Source organism: Homo sapiens, chromosome 1 (genome assembly GCF_000001405.40).
Source record: "Homo sapiens chromosome 1, GRCh38.p14 Primary Assembly".
NCBI lineage: Eukaryota > Metazoa > Chordata > Mammalia > Primates > Hominidae > Homo > Homo sapiens.
This window is the reverse complement of record NC_000001.11, coordinates 119,014,236-119,041,470: the sequence shown is the minus strand read 5'-3', so window position 1 is coordinate 119,041,470 and position 27,235 is coordinate 119,014,236. Positions and strand designations below refer to the sequence as shown.

General features: G+C 40.5%; 1 protein-coding gene across 13 annotated transcripts in view, besides 2 other annotated features; it reads left to right on the top strand.

Annotated features, from left to right (window-relative positions):
- WARS2 (tryptophanyl tRNA synthetase 2, mitochondrial) overlaps positions 1-10,255 on the top strand; it is a 109,457-nt gene extending 99,202 nt beyond the window's left edge. For 10 of the 13 annotated variants that reach the window (NM_001378229.1, NM_001378228.1, NM_001378231.1 and 7 more), the window contains 2 exons: positions 7,258-7,376; positions 8,112-10,255. In NM_001378229.1, the coding sequence (NP_001365158.1) occupies positions 7,258-7,376; positions 8,112-8,560 (568 nt within the window). In that variant the 3' untranslated portion in view covers positions 8,561-10,255. Of the gene's footprint in view, positions 1-7,257; positions 7,377-8,082 lie in introns of all 13 variants that reach the window. The other 3 variants (XM_047429105.1, XM_017000038.2, NM_201263.2) reach the window with 1 other exon arrangement.
- Positions 24,214-24,383: an enhancer, noted in NCBI's record as "experimental_115 CRE fragment used in MPRA reporter constructs". NCBI's record gives its function as "activates a minimal promoter by MPRAs in K562 erythroleukemia cells, with activity observed for the introgressed 1:119559796 or rs1325930 variant allele {active_cell/tissue: K562}" and the evidence as "EXISTENCE:reporter gene assay evidence [ECO:0000049][PMID:34662402]".
- Position 24,298: a transcriptional cis regulatory region, noted in NCBI's record as "Neanderthal adaptively introgressed variant 1:119559796 (GRCh37/hg19 assembly coordinates) or rs1325930 in the experimental_115 CRE". NCBI's record gives its function as "modulates activity of the experimental_115 enhancer by MPRAs in K562 erythroleukemia cells {active_cell/tissue: K562}" and the evidence as "EXISTENCE:reporter gene assay evidence [ECO:0000049][PMID:34662402]".

Below are 27,235 nucleotides of genomic sequence, written 5' to 3'. Positions count from 1 at the left end.
CATCCAGTCAGCTACTGCTGCCACTTAAAGTCCTCAAAAATATACACCTGAGGATGCTGATCCCTGCACTCGCTGTACTACTGGCCAGGGCTTCTGATTTCATCCCCCTCTCAATTCTTCCGTGCAAACCCCTCATCAGCCTCCCTTGACCCCCATTTGGCCTTCTAGAGATAAAGCCTCCCAATTGGCATGTGCTTAGGGCCATGCTACTGTGAAAGCTTCTGGGAAAAGAAGACACTGCACCAGTGTTTTTGCATCCCTTTCCCCTAAAGCTGTGAATTGCAATTCTTTGCATGGAAGTCTGATAATAGCATGAAGATGACAGTATCTGTACCTCGTGGCATGACTCCAGAGCCCTTGTGCAATTATGATGGAAACGGCCAAAAGAGCAGCTGCTTAGCTCTACAAACAGGGAATGTCCATGAGTACATGCAGCCTATCTTCAATTCTGATGAAAACTTGCAAGGCTTATTTGTCTGTTTGTTGTATTAACTTGTATGCTGGACTCTTGATAACATTTATTATTTGTAATAAGTAGCTTTTGACTTATTTAAAAGGCTAGAACAATATTCTCCAATAAGTAACAAATGAAAGTATAATGAAAGTCTTAATAATACATTTTCTAGAGAGGTAGGATATTTGCTTGTAAAGGTTCTGTGAAGAAACTTGACTTTCTCACCTGTAAAACGGGAATAATTATTAAGCACAGGATTATTAAAGGATTAAAATGAAATATAGGCCAGGCAGTACTGTGACTAGGAGCTGTTACTTGGTTATGACTAATGATGACTATGTCTTTGATAATTACAATGTTGTCTAATTTTGTTTCAAGGCCTACTTCTTTATAGAACCAAAGGCTAGCCAGGTGTGATGTTGCATGCCTGAAGTTCCAACTACTTGGAAGGCTGAGGCGGGAGGATCACTTGAGCCCAGCCTGGGCAAAATAGTGAAACCTTGGCTCCAAAAACAAAAACAAAAAACAAAACCTGAGAATTGTCAGCACTAGAATAAGAAAACACATGAGCGTGGTAGGTTTCCTTAATAGTTCAAGAGCTGTAATGGAAGAGTCCTCTGAGTTTAGGGCTATGGAAAAGCATAAACTTTAACAAGAATGACTACATTCTTAATGATACCATGAAGCAAAGGATGGGAAGGAGCTTTAAGGAGCCTCTTCTTTAATTCCATTGCTTTACAGCTTCAGTCCAGTGTGGTTTAACAACTTGCCTGAAGCTAAGTAGCCAGTCAGTTGACTTTGGAACATCTGGGCAAGACTATGGGTCTACAGCACTTTTTCTGCTAATGTACATTTTGTATTTGTCTCATTATGTTTTCTCTCAAGTTTAGAAGTTCCTAATTGCTCAATAATAAGTAGCAGAGTCAGGATTTAAACTCAGGTTTGATTTTTAAGCTATATCATTGTTTTCCCTATAACAGAGATGAAGCACTTGAAGGTATTTTTATTTGTTTTTGTTTTGCTTTGTTCCACACATTTCTGGATTTTGAAAAAGGTCATTGCCAGAATGTCTATGAATATTTGTATTATAAATGTAGACAGGTAGAATGGTAGATTGAAGGGTGGATAAAACATCTGTGTTTTTTTTTTCCTATCAGCAAATCTATGTGTGACCTCTTCATAAAATTTTGACGCAAGCCAAATATTAGTGTTTCCTTTTGTCAAAATCATCATTAGAATGAGTGGCATGGTGGGTCAGAAAACAAACATAATAGAAAGGAATGGAAGAGGAGCCTTTCAGATAAGTTTATAAAAGATTTATGTAACTATTTTGGCAGAACTTGGTAAGGAACCCTGGAATGGACAGCTGAGACCATCTTCAGCTTGAGAGTATGATAAGTACAAGAAATTTGAATACAGACAAAATATTCCAATGCTCAAAAATAGCAAGTGTTCATAGTTTTTATTTTGCATCTGTATTATTTCTCCAAATGCCTAATTTCAAATAGCTGGCTATGTATTAAGTAAATGTTTATTTCTCCCCTTTCTCTCTCTGTGTATATGTCTCTCTCTCTCTCTTTTTCTCTCTCTCTGTTTGTGTGTATGTATATGTGTTATATATATGTGTTGTATACATATATATATACACACACACATACACATAAAGGCACACACATACATATATAATTTTTATTAAACAACAACAAATAGTTGCTAAGTACCTACAATGCCACTGATCCGGAAAAAGGGCACTATACATGGCCTTGAGGGAAAGGAAAGGAAGGACTTGACATGTGTTGAGAATTATTTGCCAGGCATCTACTAACTGCTACACACTCATTATCTATTCAGTTCTCACAATAGGGCTATGAAATAAGTGGGTGGCATTATCCCCATTTTACAGATGGGGAAATGAAGTTTCAGAGAGATTCCACTAAATTCATTCAGATAGAGATGAAAGTGAGTATCTGGGCTAATCAGATTATCTTTCTCAAGAATCTGAAAAATTTGGGAAGAGGATAAGAAGACTGGAAACTGACGGGCACAGTGGCTCACGCCTGTAATCCCAGCACTTTGGGAGGCCGAGGCAGGCAGATCACCTGAGCTCAGGAGTTCAAGACCAGCCTGGCCAAAATGGTGAAACCTTGTCTCTACTTAAAATACAAAAAATTAGCCGGGCGTGGTGGTGTGTGCCTGTAGTCCCAGCTACTCGGGAGGCTGAGGCACAAGAATTGCCTGAATCCGGGAGGAGGAGGCCGCAGTGAGCTGAGAGTGCACCACTGCACTCTAGCCTGGGTGACGGAGTGAGACTCTATCTCAAAAAATAAAAACAAAAAGAAGACTGAAAACAAAAGCAAAAATGATATAGAAAAATGAGAAAACAGAGGCCTCAAGAAACTGCAGGCAGAAACCAAACCAAACCAAAACCCAGAAAGTATAGAGAGTAAAATGATTGCTCAGAAACTTCAGACTGGTAGAGTCAGAGAAGAGGTGTCATCATAATGTCTAAGAATCAGGCTACTGCCATTGAGGACCATTGAAAATAAGCTTTTTGAGAGCTTTGTATTATTATTATTTCTCTTTCTTTGAGACTGTCATAAAACAGCATTTGAGAGCTTTTTCTAAGAATGCTGGATTTCCTATAGCTGCCTTGGAAACTTCCAGTTCTTGAAGTGCTTCATTCTTTGTGAGGCCGGTTGAGCCTGGATTTTTCCGAGATGCAGGAAGCTACTCATTTCTGTAGTCTGCTCATATCCACATATTCACCCACTCTACCTAAGCAATAATTTTTTATCTTTCTCTTTCCACTTTACCTCTATTAGGCAAATGCCTACACCAAACCAGAACCCTACTGAAAGGCAGTATGAAAAATGTAGTTTCCAGGCTGCAGCCCCTGAAAATCAAGAGGTAGCATAGAAGGGAGAGAATGGTGCTGAGATGTCAACAGATAATCCAGTACACTCTCTAAAAAGTAACAGGAAGCTATTTGTACATTTTAAGGATACAGCAAATTTGATATGACTTATACTTTTAAAAGAGAATTGATTAAAATACAGAGAATGAGTTTTAGGAAGAGAAGAATATCTGGGGCCATCTATTTAGAGGCTATTTCACTAGTCTAATATGGGCCATGATGATGACAGTGAAGATGCAGAAAAGTAGACAAATATAAGAAACATTTAGGAAGTAAAACTGATAGGACTGGATGTGTATGAGAGGGAGGTGTCAGGGATGACCCGATATTTCTGACTTACCCAACTGGATTGATAGCATTGCCATTCACTGAGATAGGGGATGCTGAAGGAGGACTGGCCAGAAGAATTTAAAGCTTCATTGGGTATTATCTCTCCTCCTGGTGGCCTTAAATCTTTAGAAAGTAAACCCTTCATTATATCTTTCACAGTACCCAGCACCAGGACTTTCACATCGTGGGTCTTCAATAAGTAATTGCTGAATTAGAGAGTCATTATTGCATATCCTACAAGCAACTAGTCATGAGGAATTAATCCTTTATGACAAGAAAACACCACCAAACTCCTGTCCCAGCCGGGCTGGTTAAAGGCAGCAGCACTGAAAACTTACAAACACAGCCAAAAAAGTAGAAAAAGAAATAATAAGAGAACAAATCTCTGTGAGCAGATATATGTAGGCAACGTTTATTCATCTGGACACTAATTCTGCCAGAAGGGTGGGGTGATCTCAAGTATCATAGATGCAAAAAGGAACTAAGCAAAAGAAAAATGGTTTAGTCACCAAAGGAGAAGATCAGAGGCATTATTATATGACAGAAGTTATAACAATCAAAATTATGAAAGGCTTTTGTTTTATGTTGTGTCTAAGAAAGCACAGTCAGAGTAACTTAAAAAAAAGGAAAACAGAAAAAAAGAGAAGACACATTAAAAGGGATATCATTATGCAGGGTATAAATTTTTAAAGAACAGCACTAAATTATTTGAAGTGAAAGAAAGACTGAGGAGAAAGGCTGAAAATATGAAGAGAATAAGGCACATAAGTGAGTAGAATCAAAGACAAGATGAATTAATGTAAAGTGTAAACTCAATGGATGAGAAGTAAAGGCTAAGATAAATTATAGGAGGTGAAAGGAGCAGCAGGAGCACAGGGAGGGAAGGCTAGAAACAAACACACTAAAATCAGATGAAAAAGCCAAGTGGAGCAATGGGGCAGATGAAAAAGATTAAAATTTTTTAAATCCTTTTTGTTTTTAAAAAGCAAAACCCCACAGAATTGTTAAAAAAGAGGCAAGGATCCGACATCAGGCAAAGATGCATGCAGAGTCATTATGAAAACTAAATGTGTTTTCTGTTTAGTTTGGTTGCTTTGTGAATCTGGAACCATTTTGACATGTGGAAATATTCATTTTGATGTGCTTAAAGTGTATTGATTATGGTAATTGTTTTTTCTGTGTTGGTTGCAGTCCATTGTGATTTCCTATGGGCTACTGTAATTGCTTTCTAATCTGCTCTGTTGGCTAATTTGGCTTGGGGGCGTCAAGGTGACCTCTGCATGTCAGCCTCACTATAATTACAAGACAGGTATAGCGAAGTCCACTCAAAGAAGAGAAAGTTACAAAGGTGGGGTGTCTGCATGTACATCCCAGAGAGGAGTATCATGTAGGACCATGAGTGCTGAGGAAAACATAAAAAGGAATATTTTTGTTTTTGCCACTCACTGATCCAGTGGCTTTCTACTCCAGGCTGCGTGGAAGAGAGCAATGGCTATGGCCCTAATAGTTATTCTGTAGAATTTCCCACATTAACTTATTTATTTTTATTTTTATTTTTATTTTTCGAGGCAGAGTTTCACTCATTTCCCAGGCTGGAGTGCAATGGCGCAATCTTGGCTCACCGCAGCCTCCACCTCCGCCTCCGGGTTCAAGAGATTCTTCTGCCTCAGCCTCCGGAGTACCTGGGATTACAGGCATGCACCACCACACCCAGCTAATTATGTATTTTTAACAGGGACCGGGTTTCGCCTTGTTGGTCAGGCTAGTCTCGAACTCCCGACCTCAGGTGACCCGCCCACCTTGGCCTCCCAAAGTGCTGCATTACAAGCGTGAGCCAATGCACCTGGCCAACATTCACTTATTGACCTTAGAAGAAGAGAAACCACTCTGGGTCTGCTGTCATGGTCCTTACATTTTGCCTTTCCATTGATTGTTCTGTTCTTGTTTTCCTTAAATTAAAAGAGCTCTCAGAATTCCTGTAACATACCATTTATATTTTGGGATTACCTGATCAGATATGTGAACTGTCAGTTTCAAGTAAGTTTTCTATGCATATCAGGATCACTGCCCAGGTCTGTGACTATCTCTGGGATTATGCATTACTATTTGTGGTATGTCAGCTCTGAAAAAGGAAAATGATCTGGTGTGAAAAAAGTCAGTGTACCCCTCATCAAGGTTCTCTATAGTATCTTTATTTTACCATTTGTCCTTCATTTTACCTTTATTTGTCCTTCATCATGTCAGATATTAATGAATATATAGTTATATATTATATCAATAGCAACCATTTATTGAGCTCTTACTATCAATTAGTATACGTGTTATCCATGAAAGAGCTATATGAGGTAAGCTCCATGATGAACCTCACTTTACAGAGGAAACGAAGGCTTAGAAAGGGTAAGAAACTTGCCTATGATGGCTCGCTGCTTTTTTCACAGGAGCAATATTGTTTCTTTGATTAAAAAAACCTCAGCGCACTGTATTACTTGTATTATCAGGTATAAACTCCCAGCCAAGCATTGCATGTATAAAATTGCCTGTTTTTTAATCCCGCCATATTGCTTCAGTATAAAATTTTCCTCATCAAGACTTCTCTATAATGGTTCATTCTTCCCTTATTTGATGTACTATGTCATGATCTGACACTGCAAACTTTACATATGGGATTAAACTCATGATGAAGTCATTCCCTATATTCTGATATTTTTGGTTTCACATCTTCATTTCTTCATAATATGAAATATTACAGATAAAATTCAAGTCTCCTTTGTTCTTTTCTTCAGATCTATTTCCTTTCCACCTTCTCTAGAAGCAGCTACAATTACAAATTTGGGGAGGAGCTTCCAGTATGTTTTTTTACTTATTATTACAGATATATTTCCATAGGCACTTGTAAAATTTACGTAAATGTCAGTGTATTTCATGTTTTCTCCAACTTGCTTTTTTCATCCCACATAGTTTTTGATAGCCATCTACATTGTACTTATAGATTTTAAGTTCTCTGCAACATATTAATTGTCCTGTGATTGCAATGTACTTGAAAATGAAGCTTACTCCAAAGAATATTGAATTACTCCCTATGTGACAGGGAGGAAAAACTCTTGCCTGAAGAACTTTCTGCTGCCTTTGATTTGAAGAGTGGGGTGGGGTGTCTTTCAAGTATGAGCTGTAGTTCTGAGGTAAAGAGCATCTGGTCAGGGCTGGGAATAATATGTGCTGACTGGGTGAGGGAATGAGGAGTAGTTTTAAAACACAATTGTGCCTAGAGCATATGCTATTTAAAATCCCATTCCTCCCTCCCAGCAAGATCCTGTCATGCTGGTGTTGATGGCTGTATTCCCCTGCTGTGGAAAAAACACAACTAGAGTAGAGAAACATCTCTTTGGCTTTTGTCTGATCCATAGATAAAGACTTAGGTCTAAACATTCCCTCTATAGTTGGTGAACATTTGTTGAATACCAACAGTGAAATATTCACAGGAAATGCAGCTGCTTGCAATATCATTTCTGTCTCTAAGAAAGAGCCTTGCTGTTGTTTTTCTGTCTGTCTTTTATTAAAGGTCCACACACGTTCCTGTTGGGGAGGATCAAGTCCAGCACATGGAACTAGTTCAGGATCTAGCACAAGGTTTCAACAAGAAGTATGGGGAGTTCTTTCCAGTGCCCGAGTCCATTCTCAGTAAGTAAGAAACTTATAATTGTTACATCAGGGTATATTCTAAAGAGAGGATTGGACAATAGATAGGCTTGGAACTTTCTTGGGACTAACCTCAGCTTTCTTGTAGACAGGCTTCAGGATCTGTAACTAGAGTCCTCATTGTTTTCTCTAGTGTAGGACTAGAAAGTAGACTACGTTGGATTCCTGAAAAAGATGTTGGATTATTGAAAAGGATAACTAAAAATATTTTAAAAGTATGGAAGAGACCAAAAATTTAAAATAATATTTATAAAGTAGTATATAATTTATGAAGTATGAACAGATGCTTCTTGACTTATAATTGGGTTACATCCTGATAAAGCCATTGTAAGTTGGAAACACTGTTAATCAAAAATGCATTTAACACACATAACCTACTGAACATCACAGCTTAGCCTAGCCCACCTTCAGCGTGCTCAGAACACTTACATTAGTCTATAATTGGGCAGAATCATCTAACACAAAGCCTATTTTATAATAAAGTATTGAATATCTCATGTAATTTATTGAATACTATACTGAAAGTGAAAAACAGAATGGTTGTGTGGGTATTTCAAGTACAGTTTCTACTGAATGGATATCACATTTGCACCACTGTAAAGTTGAAAAATCATAATTCAAACCATTGCAAGTTGGGAACTGTCTGTGTGTACATCTTGGTGATCTGTTTGTTTTGTTTTTGTTTTGGGTATGTGTGTGTTGGTGTTTTTAACCTAGCATCCATGAAGAAGGTAAAATCCCTACGTGATCCTTCTGCCAAAATGTCGAAATCAGACCCTGACAAACTGGCCACCGTCCGAATAACAGACAGCCCAGAGGAGATAGTGCAGAAATTCCGCAAGGCTGTGACAGACTTCACCTCGGAGGTCACCTATGACCCGGCTGGCCGCGCTGGCGTGTCCAACATAGTGGCGGTGCATGCCGCGGTGACGGGGCTCTCCGTGGAGGAAGTGGTGCGCCGCAGCGCGGGCATGAACACTGCTCGCTACAAGCTGGCCGTGGCAGATGCTGTGATTGAGAAGTTTGCCCCAATTAAGCGTGAAATTGAAAAACTGAAGCTGGACAAGGACCATTTAGAGAAGGTTTTACAAATTGGATCAGCAAAAGCCAAAGAATTAGCATACACTGTGTGCCAGGAGGTGAAGAAATTGGTGGGTTTTCTATAGGAAGTTTCAACGAATCACAGCAAGGCTTTTGTGCCTTGCACTCCATGCATTCTGATAACGGCAGCTTTCCTAAAAAGAAAAAGTTATAGTTTTGGGACATTTAATTTGGTATAGCTGATTATTGGCTTTATTTGATGAATATTGCTTTGTAGCTTTGAAATACGACAGTGTTCCAAATCCCATCAACAAAATGCTGTGAACAACAACAACAAAAAATAAATCAAGAAGGCATAGCTGTCTGAATCCCCAATTATTGAGGCACACTCCTTGGCCTGCAGAAATGTGATTGAAGTAAGGAGTAATTTGGGAAATGGAGTATCATTTGTGCTTCTCTCTGGAGTACTTACTGTAACAGATGCACACGTTATCTACTTCAACCCTTTTATAAAGCAATATATAGAGGTCTTAGATGTATAATCCTTGAGATGCCATTTGATCAGATGCCAATTTGTATTCAGAGCTCATAAAAACAAGTCCATTCTTATAGTTTGTTTGTCACTGAGACGGTGCCTGATTTAATATATTTAAGCTGCTTAACTTGTTTTCCAAGAGATAACACCAACTGTTCCAGCAATAATTTGTTTTTTAATTCAGAGATATGGGATATGATCTTCTAAGGAGGTTGCATTATTTTGACCTGATTTATTTATTGTACAAGAGCCCAAGTCCCTGAATTATATTCTTAATAAGTGCTTTCTTGCATTCATTTCAGTTTAGTCTCACCAACCCCCTATGAATTAGGAGAATTATTGTCATTTTACACATGAGGAAAGTGAGGCTGAGAGAATCCAATTAGCTTGTACGATATCACTCCATAAGAGAAGCAAATCTGAGAGTAAAACCCTTACCCCTTATTCTTAAGAATAGTGCTTGTTTATTCAGTACAAAAAAAATGCTGAAAGGCAGCGTTTTTTAGACTCTAAACATTCTGATTTTGAAGGTGGGTGTTGGAACGACTGATGATGTTTTTTATATCATCAATTCAGCCAATGGATGCGAACTTAAAATCTGGATTCACAGAACCGTGGTCACATTTCCCCATCAAAATCCCCAAGGCGGGTCCCAAGTTCTCTCCTCTACGCTCATTGCAGAAATACTTTGAAATAGGTTCTGCCAGTCTACAATAGCAGTGAAGACTGACAAATCAGATATTCCCAATGACTGACAGCTTCTCATCTTGCCTCTACCTCAGTTAAGTAATGTCACCCTGAAACCTAGCTTTTCTGCACTTCCATTTCTGACACCTGAAAATGAAAATGATAATCCTAACTTATACACCAAGACCTGTTAGCAAGATCGATTTTGTAACAGAAATTGCTTATAAGTTTTTTATCAGTAAGGACCATGATCACCATTTGTACATACATAACTAGGTTGTTGAGCAAAGCATTTTTGCTCATGTTTCTTAAGGAAGTAGAGTAGTCCTTGTGTCAGAACACATGTTAATCCACAAAACGCCCCATCCCAGATTCCAAATTAAAACATCGTTTTTAGGATTCTTGGAGCTAGCCTGGATCATGGGTAAAGGAAACATTTTGCCTTTTGTATCTTATACTGGAATGGGATGTCTGTAAGTCCTAGAACCTCTTTGAGCATATTTCTTACAAGCCTCTGTTTTTTCCCCTTTAAAGGAAACTTTGAAAGGATTGTGAATACTGGAAAATGACAAAACTAAAGGTAGATCTATCAAGCCAATTGTCTGTTTATCTGTTTGTGTGGTTTTTACCCCCTTGCAATACCTTTCCTCCAAAAAATTAAGGCACTATGGAAAGAATCTCAGAGGAGAAAAACAGATAACTTGTGATAACTTCCAGGGACCGAAGTCTATGCATTGGTGAGGGTGGACTTGTTTGCAACCTGTTGTTATTTTTTTTAAGTGACCCAACTGTTCAAGTCCAAACTTGGCCCATAATTATTAAGAGAATCTTATCCGGTTAATCAGTATTAATCAGGATTCTTCAGAGAAACAAAACCAATAGGATATATATCTATATATTAGAGAATTTATTATGGGGATTAGCTCACCCAATTATGAAGGCTGAGAAGTTCCATGATAGGCTATGTGCAAGCTGGACCCAAGAGAGATGATGGTGTGATACAGTCCAAGTCCTTAGGCTGGAGAACCAGGGGAACCAATGATGTAACTGTCAGTCCAAGGCTGAAGGCTTGAGAACCTGGGGGCCACTGTAAGTCCCAGAGTCTAAAGGCCTGAGAACCAGGAGCTGTGATGTCCTAGGGCAGGAGAGGTGAAGTTCCAGCTCAAGAAGACAGCAAATTTGCCCTTCCTCTGTCTTTTTCTTCTAGTCAGTCCCTCAACTGATTGGATGTCAGCCCACATCGATGAGGGCGTATCTCCTTTATTGAGTCTACTGATTCAAAGGCCAATCTCTTCCAGAAACACCCTCACACACGCGCTCAGAGTAATGCTTTACCAGCTATCTGGATATCCCTTAACTCAGTCAAGTTGACACATAAAATTATCCATCACGGCCGGGCACGGTGGCTCACGCCTGTAATCCCAGCACTTTGGGAGACCGAGGCGGGCGGATCACGAGGTCAGGAGATGGAGACCATCCTGGCTAACATGGTGAAAACCCCGTCTCTACTTAAAATACAAAAAAAAAAAATTAGCTGAGTGTGGTGGGGGGCGCCTGTAGTCCCAGCTACTAGGGAGGCTGAGGCAGAAGAATGGTGTGAACCCAGGAGGTGGAGCTTGCAGTGAGCCGAGATCAAACCACTACACCCCAGCCTGGGCAACAGAGCGAGACTCCGTCTCAAAAAAAAAAAAAAAAAATCCATCACACCCAGTGATCTCAGGAAGTTGATAAAAGAGCCAACAAGTATGGAATCTAGATCTATTTTCACATCCCTTCCACTTATTGTTTATAGGCCCTTCACAATCTTTCTAATGGAGATGACACATTGGAGAGAAACCTAATTTTTTTTTTTCTGTATGTTTTGTGGGAAGTTGAAATGGTGAAAAATATTTCAGGTGGTAATAATAATGGTCCTGTAACTGGTGCTCTGAAACCCTGCTTCAAACCGACTTTGACAGCTGGTCACTCAACACAGTGGGGGTGTCTTGCCCTTTGTAGGTGACCCATAAACATTTATCAAAAGTATGTGTCAAAAAATGGGCTAGAGATTTCTAATAAAGTGTGAATTTTTTTTTGCAAAAGCCCTACTGATGTACACCATCAAGATGCTTATCATAATAACACTATTGAGTTCTCATTGTGTATCAGGCACCATACTGAATGGCTTATAACAGTGTTTTTCCAAGTGTGGTCCCCAGACCGGCAACATGAGCATCACCTGGGAACTCATTAGGAATGCAAATTATCTGACTCCCTCAGACCTGTTGAGTAAAAAACCTAGAGGATGAACCCAGCAATTGGTGTCTTCGCCTTCCAGGTGATACTGATGGCATGCTGAACTTTGAGAACCATTGCTTTATTTGCATTCTCTAATTTAATTTACAAGCCAATAAAGTAGATACTGTTATCAACCTCAGATTGCAAAAGTTGAAACTGAGGCATGGGAGGCTGAGTTACTTGCTTAATGTAGTTCAGCTTCTAAAGGGAAGATTCTGGTTTCAAATCCAGGTCACCTAATCCAGAGCCCCACTAGGCCACAGTGACCTGTATAAGGTCTTTTGGTACGTATGGGGGGCAACACTGTCCAATATGGTATGTGTCCATTTAAATTGAAATAATTAAATTTTAAAAATTGCTTTCTTAGCAGCACATTCAAGTGCCCTGTGGCTTCATGTGGTTAATGCCTGTCATAGTGGATAAATATAGGTGGAGAACATTTCTGTCATAGAACCATCTATAGATACTGCTTCTTCAGTATTCAGTTTACTGGTTTTGCTTATAATAGATCAAATACGTAAAGTTCAAGACTCTTCCTGGAGAGTTCTTCAACTGGACAATTCTTGAATATAGTAAAAACATTACTTGAGAATGACCATATAGTTTGCCAAACAATGTTAAATAATAAGAGCTATTACAATATGTATTATATACTTGCCATATGCTGAGCACTTTGTAAGTGTGTTTATGTTCAATGTCTTATTTCATGTTTATATCAGCTCTATAAGATAGGAACTATTAATACCAGTTTTTAAAGTAACATTCAGCAACTTGCCAAAAGTCACATATTTATTATGAGTCTCTAGCTTCTCCCAATTAAGAACTAAGAAATATCCCTTAACTATTGTGCCTAAGGGAGTAGTCTGCCACTCTTCATTGAGTCTAGAATCTTCTCCAAGTACTTGTGATACTCTCTTGTGTGTCCTATGATATTCTTAGCCCTCACTTCTCCCTCCTTGCCTCCTTTTCCCCTCCCCTCTCCTTACTTTAATGCTGTTATAATTATTCCCCCAAAAGTTCTTCATTTGTACACAGAGCAGTCCTTAGTTTGCTCTCACATGCAGCCTTTGATTTCTTTCAGTTCACCCTATCAAGTGCTGTGTGCCCCTGTTACTAGTTAAAGGGAATAATTGTGCATGTGACAATTCTTGGTCTCTTTCTCTTCAACACAAGGACTCTGTCTGTGTTCTCTTTGTGTGTCCTCCCTATGTGATCGACATTCTCTTTTCAGTCTGTCAACTGGATGCATCTTTTGAAATGTTTTGGCTAGGAAGTCAATCCCTCCCTGAGATTGAGCTGAAAACAAATTGCCTATTAATAGCACTTAACATTTTCAAACCACCCCCTTTAAGAAGAACAACCTGGAGGCTTTACTGTTAATCATTTTAAGTCCTCATATGTTAACTCTCAACAGTTCTGTTATATTGGCCAGGCAGGGATTATCTTCTTTCTCTAGGAAGGAAACTGGGTTTCAGAGCTATAGTGACTTTATCCTTAGATAGGTAATTCAACATTATGACAAATGTTTGTGTAGGCACTGAGGAAATGCAATATGACTACAATTTAGAGGAGGACACACAGAGATACCAGCTAGCAAATGCTGGGTGTGCCTGGGAATGAGTAATTCACAAGAATGTTCAAGGAAGGAATATGATCGATATAGGACAGGAGAAAGGGCTTTTCAATTAAAAAGTAGGGCACAGAAACATGAGCACATTTAGGGAAAGGCAAATTCATACAATATGTGGACAAAATTAGATGGAAATATTATGTTGAGTCACATGAAATTGTAATATTTGATTACTATTTTTTACCAAAAACACTGGCAGTTCCATGTGGATTCACCTAATATACTCAGTGAACAAGCATTTGTGGAGTGCCTGTTTTGCAGGTACAATCCAAGTACGAAGAATTAGAAATGAGACACAGTCTCTACCCTCAGGCTCCTTGTCTATGTAGAGATGGACATGGAAAGCCAGTGAGAGGTCGAATAGGAATTATAACCAAAGTCTTCTGAGTCTTGTCCCTCTCCTGTGCATTAGCTATGGCATTTGCTCTTAATTACTGGGAATGTGGCCTCTAGATGTCACAATCACTTAGTAGTCCTTGAATAAATAAAATATTTAATATTTGATATAACCATGTTGGCTCAATGGAATGCAAATTCATTTTATAATATGCCCTCCTCACTTCTACCCACCTATGCACATAGTAAAGCAGGCCTACAGTCGTCCTTTTCTTCTAAGTGTTTCTGAAAATCAAATGATATGACTTTATATGACTCTAGGACAAAATGGTCTGGTTTTACAGATTTCCCTTTGTGGGAGTAATATAAACATACAGGCTCTTCCTGGGAAGAAAGCCATGTCCCATTTCCTATCTGTAAATGCAGTGCTGAAGAAGTGCTACGTGCTTGGCCTTTACCACCAGATCTCCCCACACCAGCCTGTCCTGTAGGGAAACCCATTGCGAACAATTGTCAGTTCCAATAAATAGGTTGTTCAGCGAGTTCCCTGAGTTTGCAGTAGCCTCCCCCAAAAAGAGGCTTCTGTAACGACTTTTTTTTGTTTTAATGAGAGACTGCGTGGCTTATTCAGACATGAGTGTGGGAACCAGCCCTGGGGAGAGAAGTGTTCCCACCATGAACCGGACGGCCAGTGAGCAGGAAAGGTGTTGATCCTCAGCAATATTCCAGAAGAAAGTTCCTGCACTGAAGGAGGAGGTGAGGACTCATGAGGATGAAGGCCACAATATTATTTTATTATAGTTTCCTCTCCTGGGCCCCTTATAGAAAAATTAACAAATAGAATTTCTGAGGTTGCTGATTCCTCAGTGAATTATTATGCTTTCATTTTTTCTGTGCCTTCCTTTTCTACTTGCTGTTTTCTTTTTTTTATTATTATTATTAATATACTTTAAGTTTTAGGGTACATATGCACAATGTGCAGGTTAGTTACATATGTGTACATGTGCCATGCTGGTGGGCTGCACCCACTAACTCGACATCTAGCATTAGGTATATCTCCCAATGCTATCCCTGCCCCCTCCCCCAACCCCACCACAGTCCCCAGAGTGTGATATTCCCCTTCCTGTGTCCATGTGTTCTCATTGTTCAATTCCCACCTATGAGTGAGAATATGTGGTGTTTGGTTTTTTGTTCTTGCGATAGTTTACTGAGAATGATGATTTCCAATTTCATCCATGTCCCTACAAAGGACATGAACTCATCATTTTTTATGGCTGCATAGTATTCCGTGGTGTATATGTGCCACATTTTCTTAATCCAGTCTATCATTGTTGAACATTTGGGTTGGTTCCAAGTCTTTGCTATTGTGAATAATGCCGCAATAAACATACGTGTGCATGTGTCTTTATAGCAGTATGATTTATAGTCCTTTGGGTATATACCCAGTAATGGGATGGCTGAGTCAAATGGTATTTCTAGTTCTAGATCTCTGAGGAATCGCCACACTGACTTCCACAATGGTTGAACTAGTTTACAGTCCCACCAACAGTGTAAAAGTGTTCCTATTTCTCCACATCCTCTCCAGCACCTGTTGTTTCCTGACTTTTTAATGATTGCCATTCTAACTGGTGTGAAATGGTATCTCATTGTGGTTTTGATTTGCATTTCTCTGATGGCCAGTGATGGTAAGCATTTTTTCATGTGGTTTTTGGCTGCATAAATGTCTTCTTTTGAGAAGTGTCTGTTCATGTCCTTTGCCCACTTTTTGATGGGGTTGTTTGTTTTTTTCTTGTAAATTTGTTTGAGTTCATTGTAGATTCTGGATATTAGCCCTTTGTCAGATGAGTAGGTTGCGAAAATTTTCTCCCATGTTGTAGGTTGCCTGTTCACTCTGATGGTAGTTTCTTTTGCTGTGCAGAAGCTCTTTAGTTTAATTAGATCCCATTTGTCAATTCTGGCTTTTGTTACCATTGCTTTTGGTGTTTTAGACATGAAGTCCTTGCCCATGTCCTGAATGGTAATGCCTAGGTTTTCTTCTAGGGCTTTTATGGTTTTAGGTCTAACGTTTAAGTCTTTAATCCATCTTGAAATGATTTTTGTATAAGGTGTAAGGAAGGGATCCAGTTTCAGCTTTCTACATATGGCTAGCCAGTTTTCCCAGCACCATTTATTCAATAGGGAATCCTTTCCCCATTGCTTGTTTTTCTCAGGTTTGTCAATGATCAGATAGTTGTAGATATGCGGCGTTATTTCTGAGGGCTCTGTTCTGTTCCATTGATCTATATCTCTGTTTTGGTACCAGTACCATGCTGTTTTGGTTACTGTAGCCTTGTAGTATAGTTTGAAGTCAGGTAGTGTGATGCCTCCAGGTTTGTTCTTTTGGCTTAGGATTGACTTGGCGATGCAGGCTCTTTTTTGGTTCCATATGAACTTTAAAGTAGTTTTTTCCAATTCTGTGAAGAAAGTCATTGGTAGCTTGATGGGGATGGCATTGAATCTGTAAATTACCTTGGGCAGTATGGCCATTTTCACAATATTGATTCTTCCTACCCATGAGCATGGAATGTTCTTCCATTTGTTTGTGTCCTCTTTTATTTCACTGAGCAGTGGTTGGTAGTTCTCCTTGAAGAGGTCCTTCACATCCCTTGGAAGTTGGATTCCTAGGTATTTTATTCTCTTTGAAGCAATTGTGAATGGGAGTTCACTCATGATTTGGCTCTCTGTTTGTCTGTTGTTGGTGTATAAGAATGCTTGTGATTTTTGTACATTGATTTTGTATCCTGAGACTTTGCTGAAGTTGCTCATCAGCTTAAGGAGATTTTGGGCTGAGACAATGGGGTTTTCTAGATATACAATCATGTTGTCTGCAAACAGGGAGAATTTGACTTCCTCTTTTCCTAATTGAATACCCTTTATTTCCTTCTCCTGCCTAATTGCCCTGGCCAGAACTTCCAACACTATGTTGAATAGGAGTGGTGAGAGAGGACATCCCTGTCTTGTGCCAGTTTTCAAAGGGAATGTTCCACTTTTTGCCCATTCAGTATGATATTGGCTGTGGGTTTGTCATAGATAGCTCTTATTATTTTGAGATACATCCCATCAATACCTAATTTATTGAGAGTTTTTAGCATGAAGGGTTGTTGAATTTTGTCAAAGGCCTTTTCTGCATCTATTTAGATAATCATGTGTTTTTTGTCTTTGGTTCTGTTTATATGCTGGATTACATTTATTGATTTGCGTATATTGAACCAGCCTTGCATCCCAGGGATGAAGCCCACTTGATCTTGGTGGATAAGCTTTTTGATGTGCTGCTGGATTCGGTTTGCCAGTATTTTATTGAGGATTTTTGCATCGATGTTCATCAAGGATATTGGTCTAAAATTCTCTTTTTTGGTTGTGTCTCTGCCCGGCTTTGGTATCAGGATGATGCTGGCCTCATAAAATGAGTTAGGGAGGATTCCCTCTTTTTCTATTGATTGGAATAGTTTCAGAAGGAATGGTACCAGTTCCTCCTTGTACCTCTGGTAGAATTCGGCTGTGAATCCATCTGGTCCTGGACTCTTTTTCATTGGTAAGCTATTGATTATTGCCACAATTTCAGCTCCTGTTATTAGTCTATTCAGAGATTCAACTTCTTCCTGGTTTAGTCTTGGGAGAGTGTATGTGTCGAGGAATTTATCCATTTCTTCTAGATTTTCTAGTTTATTTGCGTAGAGGTATTTGTAGTATTCTCTGATGGTAGTTTGTATTTCTGTGGGATCAGTGGTGATATCCCGTTTATCATTTTTTATTGCATCTATTTGATTCTTCTCTCTTTTTTTCTTTATTAGTCTTGCTAGCGGTCTATCAATTTTGTTGATCCTTTCAAAAAACCAGCTCCTGGATTCGTTAATTTTTTGAAGGGTTTTTTGTGTCTCTATTTCCTTCAGTTCTGCTCTGATTTTAGTTATTTCTTGCCTTCTGCTAGCTTTTGAATTTGTTTGCTCTTGCTTTTCTAGTTCTTTTAATTGCGATGTTAGGGTGTCAGTTTTGGATCTTTCCTGCTTTCTCTTGTGGGCACTTAGTGCTATCAGTTTCCCTCTACACATTGCTTTGAATGTGTCCCAGAGATTCTGGTATGTTGTGTCTTTGTTCTCATTGGTTTCAAAGAACATCTTTATTTCTGCCTTCATTTCATTATGTACCCAGTAGTCATTCAGGAGCAGGTTGTTCAGTTTCCATGTAGTTGAGCGGTTTTGAGTGAGATTCTTAATCCTGAGTTCTAGTTTGATTGCACTGTGGTCTGAGAGATAGTTTGTTATAATTTCTGTTCTTTTACATTTGCTGAGGAGAGCTTTACTTCCAAGCATGTGGTCAATTTTGGAATAGGTGTGGTGTGGTGCTGAAAAAAATGTATATTCTGTTGATTTGGGGTGGAGAGTTCTGTAGATGTCTATTAGGTCCGCTTGGTGCAGAGCTGAGTTCAATTCCTGGGTATCCTTGTTGACTCTCTGTCTCGTTGATCTGTCTAATGTTGACAGTGGGGTGTTAAAGTCTCCCATTATTATTGTGTGGGAGTCTAAGTCTCTTTGTAGGTCACTCAGGACTTGCTTTATGAATCTGGGTGCTCCTGTATTGGGTGCATATGTATTTAGGATAGTTAGGTCTTCTTGTTGAATTGATCCCTTTACCATTATGTAATGGCCTTCTTTGTCTCTTTTGATCTTTGTTGGTTTAAAGTCTGTTTTATCAGAGACTAGGATTGCAACCCCTGCCTTTTTGTGTTTTCCATTTGCTTGGTAGATCTTCATCCTTTTATTTTGAGCCTATGTGTGTCTCTGCCTGTGAGATGGGTTTCCTGAATACAGCACACTGATGGGTCTTGACTCTTTATCCAATTTGCCAGTCTGTGTCTTTTAATTGGAGCATTTAGTCCATTTACATTTAAAGTTAATATTGTTATGTGTGAATTTGATCCTGTCATTATGATGTTAGCTGGTTATTTTGCTCGTTAGTTGATGCAGTTTCTTCCTAGTCTCGATGGTCTTTACATTTTGGCATGATTTTGCAGTGGCTGGTACCAGTTGTTCCTTTCCATGTTTAGCACTTCCTTCAGGAGCTCTTTTAGGGCAGGCCTGGTGGTGACAAACTCTCTCAGCATTTGCTTGTCTGTAAAGTATTTTATTTCTCCTTCACTTATGAAGCTTAGTTTGGCTGGATATGAAATTCTGGTTTGAAAATTCTTTTCTTTAAGAATGTTGAATATTGGCCCCCCACTCTCTTCTGGCTTGTAGAGTTTCTGCTGAGAGATCTGCTGTTAGTCTGATGGGCTTCCCTTTGAGGGTAACCCGACCTTTCTCTCTGGCTGCCCTTAACATTTTTTCCTTCATTTCAACTTTGGTGAATCTCACAAATGTGTGTCTTCGTGTTGCTCTTCTCAAGGAGTATCTTTGTGGCGTTCTCTGTATTTCCTGAATCTGAATGTTGGCCTGCCTTGCTAGATTGGGGAAGTTCTCCTGGATAACATCCTGCAGAGTGTTTTCCAACTTGGTTCCATTCTCCCCGTCACTTTCAGGTACACCAATCAGACGTAGATTTGGTCTTTTCACATAGTCCCATATTTCTTGGAGGCTTTGCTCGTTTCTTTCTATTCTTTTTTCTCTAAACTTCCCTTCTCACTTCATTTCATTCATTTCATCTTCCATCGCTGATACCCTTTCTTCCAGTTGATCTCATCGGCTCCTGAGGCTTCTGCATTCTTCACGTAGTTCTCAAGCCTTGGTTTTCAGGTCCATCAGCTCCTTTAAGCACTTCTCTGTATTGGTTATTCTAGTTATACATTCTTCTAAAATTTTGTCAAAATTTTCAACTTCTTTGCCTTTGGTTTGAATGTCCTCCCATAGCTCGGAGTAATTTGATCGTCTGAAGCCTTCTTCTCTCAGCTCGTCAAAGTCATTCTCCGTCCAGCTTTGTTCCGTTGCTGGTGAGGAACTGCGTTCCTTTGGAGGAGGAGAGGCGCTCTGCTTTTTAGAGTTTCCAGTTTTTCTGCTCTGTTTTTTCCCCATCTTTGTGGTTTTATCTACTTTTGGTCTTTGATGATGGTGATGTACAGATGGGGTTTTGGTGTGGATGTCCTTTCCATTTTTTAGTTTTCCTTCTAACAGACAGGACCTTCAGCTGCAGGTCTTTTGGAGTACCCGGCCGTGTGAGGTGTCAGTGTGCCCCTGCTGGGGGATGCCTCCCAGTTAGGCTACTCAGGGGTCAGGGGTCAGGGACCCACTTGAGGAGGCAGTCTGCCTGTTCTCAGATCTCCAGCTGCGTGCTGGGAGAACCACTGCTCTCTTCAAAGCTGTCAGATGGGGACATTTAAGTCTGCAGAGGTTACTGCTGTCTTTTTGTTTGTCTGTGCCCTGCCCCCAGAGGTGGAGCCTACAGAGGAAGGCAGGCTTCCTTTGAGCTGTGGTGGGCTCCACCCAGTTTGAGCTTCCAGGCTGCTTTGTTTACCTAAGCAAGCCTGGGCAATGGTGGGCGCCCCTCCCCCAGCCTGGCTGCTGCCTTGCAGTTTGATCTCAGACCCCTGTGCTAGCAATCAGTGAGACTGACTGGTGGGCCACGTGTGGGATATAATCTCCTGGTGTGCCGTTTTTTAAGCCCGTTGGAAAATCGCAGTATTCGGGTGGGAGTGACCCGATTTTCCAGGTGCCGTCTGTCACCACTTTCTTTGACTAAGAAAGGGAACTCCATGACCCCTTGCGCTTCCTGAATGAGGCAATGCCTCGCCCTGCTTCGGCTTGCGCATGGGGCGCGCACCCACTGACCTGTGCCCACTGTCTGGCACTCCCTAGTGAGATGAACCCGGTACCTCAGATGGAAATGCAGAAATCACCCGTCTTCTGCGTCGCTCACGCTGGGAGCTGTAGACCAGAGCTGTTCCTATTCGGCCATCTTGGCTCCTCCCCCTTCTACTTGCTGTTTTCTAGTCATCTTTAAAGCTCCTCTAACTCAGCACAAAGACAAAGAATTCCCTGGTGATTAGTGTGCACCCACATTTATGCATAATGGTCATTTGCTTTTGCCTCTGGGGCATCCTGAATTCATCTCTTCCCCCTTCCCTGTATCGCGGTTGATGTCCAATTCAGCTACTGCTGTCATTTCTCTTATCTATTGCTTTTTCTGCTTTTTGCTAAAGAAACAAACCCCTTCCTGAGCCCTTTTCAACTTTGGCACTCTTCTAGCTTGGTGCTTCAGAACTCCCGCCCATGCTGTTGTTGCTGTTTGTAACGTGTAAAATGTTCCTGTCAAGCTTTTCCCTGCCTCCCATGTAGGTTACATTACTCTCTTCCATGGTCTCCCTTGATGTCTAACACTACACGCTTATATTGTAACTGAGTGTCTCTTGTGCTCTTCCTCTCCTCCCACTATTCTGCAACAACTACCACCATGTGTCTCACTCTTACCCACTGTCAGTCCCATTGTTCTTTCTGCCCCAGCTACTATCAAGGCTTCCATTCTGGACTTCCATGCATTTCTCACACCTACAACTTCATATTCACCAAACCATGTGTTCCTCCATGCTCCTCTAGTGAGTACAGGACATTCTCATGCTCCTTTGATACACTGGCGTATTGACATGTTGATATAAATGAAAGGGTCTTGCTTTTAGATCCATATTAATACCAAATTAACAACATCTGTATTAAGCGTAATTGCTTCCCTATCTCACTTTATTCCCCCCCAAAATATGTACAAATACATAGAGAACCCTAATTGTATCTATTGCTCAGATTTTTGTCACTGTACACGTATATTTGCCATAAAGTTTTTGTGACAGAAACTGCCAACTATCCGCCAGTATCCAGTCTCTTTTTCCTCCTTTTGAAGTGGGAGAGTTCCCTGATACCTCTCGCAGGATGTGTGACAGGGTTGTGGCTCACCTGTTCGGTCACCTCACTGCTCAAATCCCTAGCCAGAGGGGGAGCATACAGATGGGCATGTGCAGGGCCCAGGGAGAGCGCTTTTGGGTCTGGCCCCACAGTAGTATCTAGAGGTGGGTACCTGCAACCCCAGTGCTACAAAGTTCTTTCAGCTTTGCCATTGCAGACAGCTTGAGTGTTAATCAGCTCAGTGGACCCTCTGCCTTTTTGCAAAGGCAGAGGGCCAGTGTGACAGCCTTCTTTATCCCGAGCTCTTGCCCAGTGTCCTGGAAGAATCAGGTCACACGCAAGCTTGAGGATAAATGCAAGATTTTATTGAGTGGTGGAGGTGGCAGTGAGATGGATGGGGAGCTGGAAGAAGGGGATGGAATGGGAAGGTGATCTTCCTCTGGAGTTGGGCCACCCAGCAGCTGGACTCCTTTCTGACTGCCCCCAGCCAAACTTCTCTTGGCATTCAGATGTTCCTCCTCTTCTCTTTTTCTCTGCCACGTTGTTCCACCATCCATCATCTGGTCTGCTGGCTTGCTGGTCTGTCCCTGGAGCCTGGGATTCATGGCTTATATGGGTGCAGGACAGGAGGCATGGCGGGCCAAAAGGCAACTTTTGGGGCATAAAAACAGGAATGCCTATTCTCATTTAGGGCCCCAGGATCCAGGCTTGAGGCTGGGGCCTTTGCATGGAGATCATCCTCTTCTATCCAGTATTTCACTGTGTCCTGTCCATATCATTTTTTAGTAATGGAACCCTCACTCTGAATTTTAGCAGAGCACATAGCCCAAGGTAGAGACTAAATTTCCCACCCTACCCCTACAGCAAGGTATGGGCCTGTAAATTCGTTCTAGCCAATGGGATATGAGCAAAAGTGATTTGTGCAATTTCAAAGTCACTTCTTTTTTAAAGCAAAGTGTTCCTCTTTGCCCACACATCCTGAAACAGCATGTTTGACCCATTGCTGGAAACCACAAAGGAAAGATGGACAGAGTCAACCCCTCAGCCTGGGTTTCCGGACTCAGCACGCACAGCTACCTTTCTACCCTGGACTACTCACCTACCTCTGGACTGTTGTGTGATAAATCACTTTTATCATATTTAAGCTATTTTGTCTTGGGATCTCTGGGTTCCAGTACTTTAGGTACTACCCCAACTAATATACTGATCTTACTAGACTCTTTGTCTAATGTCTTGCCTTCAAGTAGGTTGCTTCAATTCAATGCAACCAACATTTTGTGAAAGCCTTCCATATGCTGAGGCAGCGAGTAGTTCTCCAGGTATGGTTCTCAGACAAGCAGCATCAGAGTCTCCTGGGAACTCATCAGATACGCATATCCGCAGACTCCACCCCACACCTACTGAATGAGAAGCTCCAGGAATAGGGCTCTGTAATCAATTTTAATAAACCCTTCAGGTGATCTAGATGTACAGATGTTTGAGAATCACTGTGCTGGGGTGAAGTGGGTCAGGAGCAGGAGGTGGTTGAGGGCAGAGCTAAAAATGAATAAAAACCACCTTCTATCCTGAAGGAGTTTACATTGGAGAGAGAAGTACAGAGAAATAATGTTATGAAAACAAAATTATTGTCTTGACTTTCTGCTATTTCCTGCTTCCCTTTTTCTTCAGATTAATTCACAACAATTTAGCCTAGATTGTTTTAGTTTTTATATGTGATTATTTATAAACAGCCTAAAATTTTAGGCCATCTGGGTCTATGCAAATCCTAAAAGGGGAAATAATTTAAGTTACATTGGTAGATAGGGTGAACAGAGATTAGTTCACCAATATTAGAATCTTAGAATCGATGAGGATTTACTGAAACCAAGAATGGGGTGTTATTTTTCACAGTGGGTAGTAAAATTACAGTACTTATTACCCTGTAAAGGGTTATATGGCCTAGAAATAAAAACAGTTGAGCATGGATTAGATTTATGAGTGAGAAAGTCATAAAATTCCAATAAGCATGAGTTAGGAATGTTCAAATTATTTCTGAAAATGTCTGACATCAATATCGTAGAAGGAAACTACCACCTTTGCTGTCACCACCTCTTATTATAATCTTCAGTGTTCAGAACACTAGTCTAGACCAGACCAGACCAATGTGGTATTCGTTGTGGGCTGGCAAGTAGACTGTGTGAGAATAAAGACTCTTGTACCTAATGTGTTTTGTATAAAACCTGTGCACACTTCAGATTAGATAGATAATAAAGGTAGAGAAGATAAGGGAGACAATGGATGCAACTCATAAAAGAAAATAATTATGATTTGAGATTAAAGACAGTTTGCCATTATTCTTACTAACAAGAGACAACCGAGATAATTGAAATCTGAAGATAATCTAAAACCTAAATAAAATATTATTATTACTATACACAGCAAACTAATCTAATGTCTTTGGCATAGGAGCCAAATACTTTGGACAGTGCTAACATGATGAAGAAGAATTAGCAAATTCAAAATCTAGCCAAACTTGGGACTTCAGTGAATCTATAATAGTTTCTTTGGCATAATGAAGACATGGCAGTTAGCATTGCCCTACTTCCCCCAAATTATGTGACTCTTTAAAAAAAGGGTTGAATTTCCCCACCTGCTGTTAGAAACACAAAAGTCTTTCTGCATAGCTGCTAAAAATTATTTTAGCTTTGGCCCATACATTTTTTTAAATCTTGCAGTGTCTTTACTGTCAGTTTGGTAAGATACAGCCACTTTATCTCTTTTTCTCCCTTCTTTTTTCTTTTAAGAATTCTTCATCCATCTTCTTTCCAAAATTACTGTGAGTCAGGATTTCTATTCCAAATAATTTGGAATCAAAAGTATTCAACAGTCTGGAGGCAAATTAGGTTTTTATTGCATTTTTATTAAGAGCAAATTGAACTGTGTGGGCAGGCTAGAGAGGGGCTCCTCTGTAAGGCTTCAGCATGCCCCACTGTTGCACCCAGCAAGGACTCATGTTACAAGAATTACATCTGTGATCTGCTTTTATTGACTGGCCGGGCCCAACAGGCCCCTGGACATTGTCAGACAAGTTAACTCCTTCTTGAGCCTCAGGAACCTTCCACAGGAGGGCTTATATGGCTCCCACAGGTCTCTCTGTCTTTCTTCTTATAACTTACAAATATTTTCCTAATATGAAGTAGTGTTTGGTAAACTATAACGATATTTCATCTTCACAAACCCCTATAATACATAAGAATTACTGGCCGGGCGCGGTGGCTCACGCCTGTAATCCCAGCACTTTGGGAGGCCGAGACGGGCGGATCACGAGGTCAGGAGATCGAGACCATCCTGGCTAACACGGTGAAACCCCGTCTCTACTAAAAATACAAAAATTAGCCGGGCGTGGTGGCGCGCGCCTGTAGTCCCAGCTACACGGGAGGCTGAGGCAGGAGAATGGCGTGAACCCGGGAGGCGGAGCTTGCAGTGAGTCGAGATCGCGCCACTGCACTCCAGCCTGGGCGACAGAGCGAAACTCCGTCTCAAAAAAAAAAAAAAAAAAAAAAAAAAAAAAAGAATTACTGTCCCCATTTTAAAGACAAGTTTTCCCTGAGTACTTTGTTACCAACTTATATGTTTTTTTGCAGTTGAAATTTGTACCATAAATTACTATCCTTTTTAAAAACTCTTATGTGTTCCTATTTGTAAGTGTCTTGGAATACAAATTGTTGCAAAAAGATTGAGGGCTTTTATGTGTGTTTTTGTTTTTGCAAATTACTCCAATATGAATCACAACGCTGAGCACAGAGCAAATGCTAAATTAATGCTTACTGATGGAAAACAACCCTGATAAGAGAGAGGTTAGAGGTTGCAAATTCACATGGCTTCACGGAACAGGTAAGTATGTAAATCCATTAGATCATTTTACAAATATTTATTCAGTGCTTATTATATGCCATGCAATGTTCTAGTCACTGGGTGTACAGCAGTGAACAAAAAAGACAAAAATCCCTGCCCTCTTTGAATTGACATTGTAGTGGAGAGATACAGACCATAAACCAGCAAGGAAAGGCAGGTTGCCAGGTGATGAGTGCTATGTAGAAATAGAAAGAAAATGGAGAAGGAGCATTATGAACTGAATTGTGTTTTCCCCAAATTTACATGTTGAGATCCTAGTCCCCAGGATGTCAGAATGTGACTCTTTTGGAAGATGGGCCCCTTAAAGAGATGATTAAGTTAAAATGAGGCCATTAGGGCATATCCTAACCCAATTTGATTTATAAGCAGAGGGGATTAGGACACACAGGCGAACACCAGGAGAAAAGACCATGTGAGGACATGGCAAGAGGGTGGCCATCCACAAAGCCAAGAAAAGCGGCCTCAGAAGAAGTGAAACCTGCCAGACCTTAATCTCAGCATTCTAGCCTCCACGACTGTGAGAAAATAAATTTCTGTTTAAGCCACTAGTCTGTGGTATTTCGTTATGGCAGCCCTAGCAAACTAATACAGGGTGCTTGTTTTAATAGAGTTTCAAAGGATGGTTTCATTTAAGCAGAAGACTGAATGAAGTGAGAAAGAAAGCAATGTGATACGTGAGGGAAAACCAGTCCAGGCAGAGGGAACATCAAATGCAAAGGTCTTGAAGCAGAAGGATGCTTGACTTGTTTAAAGAGCAGCAAGGAGACCAATGTGGCTAGAGTCAGGTAAATGAGAGGGAAAGTGGTAGATGAGGTCAGAATGTTGATGGGGGTCAAGGCTTTACAGGCCATGGTAAGGATTTTGGCTTTTACTCTAGGGAAGTAGGACTGGGGAGCCATTGTAGGTTTAAGTTATAAAAGGTTCATGTTGGCTATTATGTTAAGAAATAGACTACAGGGGTCAGAGATGGATGTGGGAAGACCAATTAGGTGGCTATTTTGATTGACCATGCAAAAGGGAAGGCTTGGAGTAGAATAATGGAGATAGAAGTGGTAAGGCATGGTAAGATTTGGGATACCTTTTAAGGTAGAGCTGACAATATTTGCTGATAGATTGGTTGTGATATTTGAGAGAAAAAAAGAAGTCAATGATAATTTAAAGCTTTTTGACATGAGAAGTTAAAAGAATAGACTTTCCATTTACTGAGATGGGAAAGACTGTAGGAGCAACAGATATGGAAGGGTTAGGAGTTTGGTTTTGGGCATTTGGAGATGTTAATTGATCACTTGTCTACCTGAAAGTAGAAGTTGGCCAGGCATGGTGGCTCACATCTGTAATGCCAGCGCTTTGTGAAGCCAAGGAAGGAAAGTTTCTTGAACCCTGGAGTTTGAGACCAGCCTGAGCAACATAGTGAGACCCCCATCTCCACAAAAAATAAAATAAAAAAATAAAGTAGCCAGGCATGGTGGCACATGCCTGTAGGTCTAGCTACTCAGGCGGCCTAGGTGGGAGGATCAATTGAGCCTGGGAGGTTGAGGCTGCAGTGAGCCATGATTGTGCCTCTGCACTCCAGCCCGGG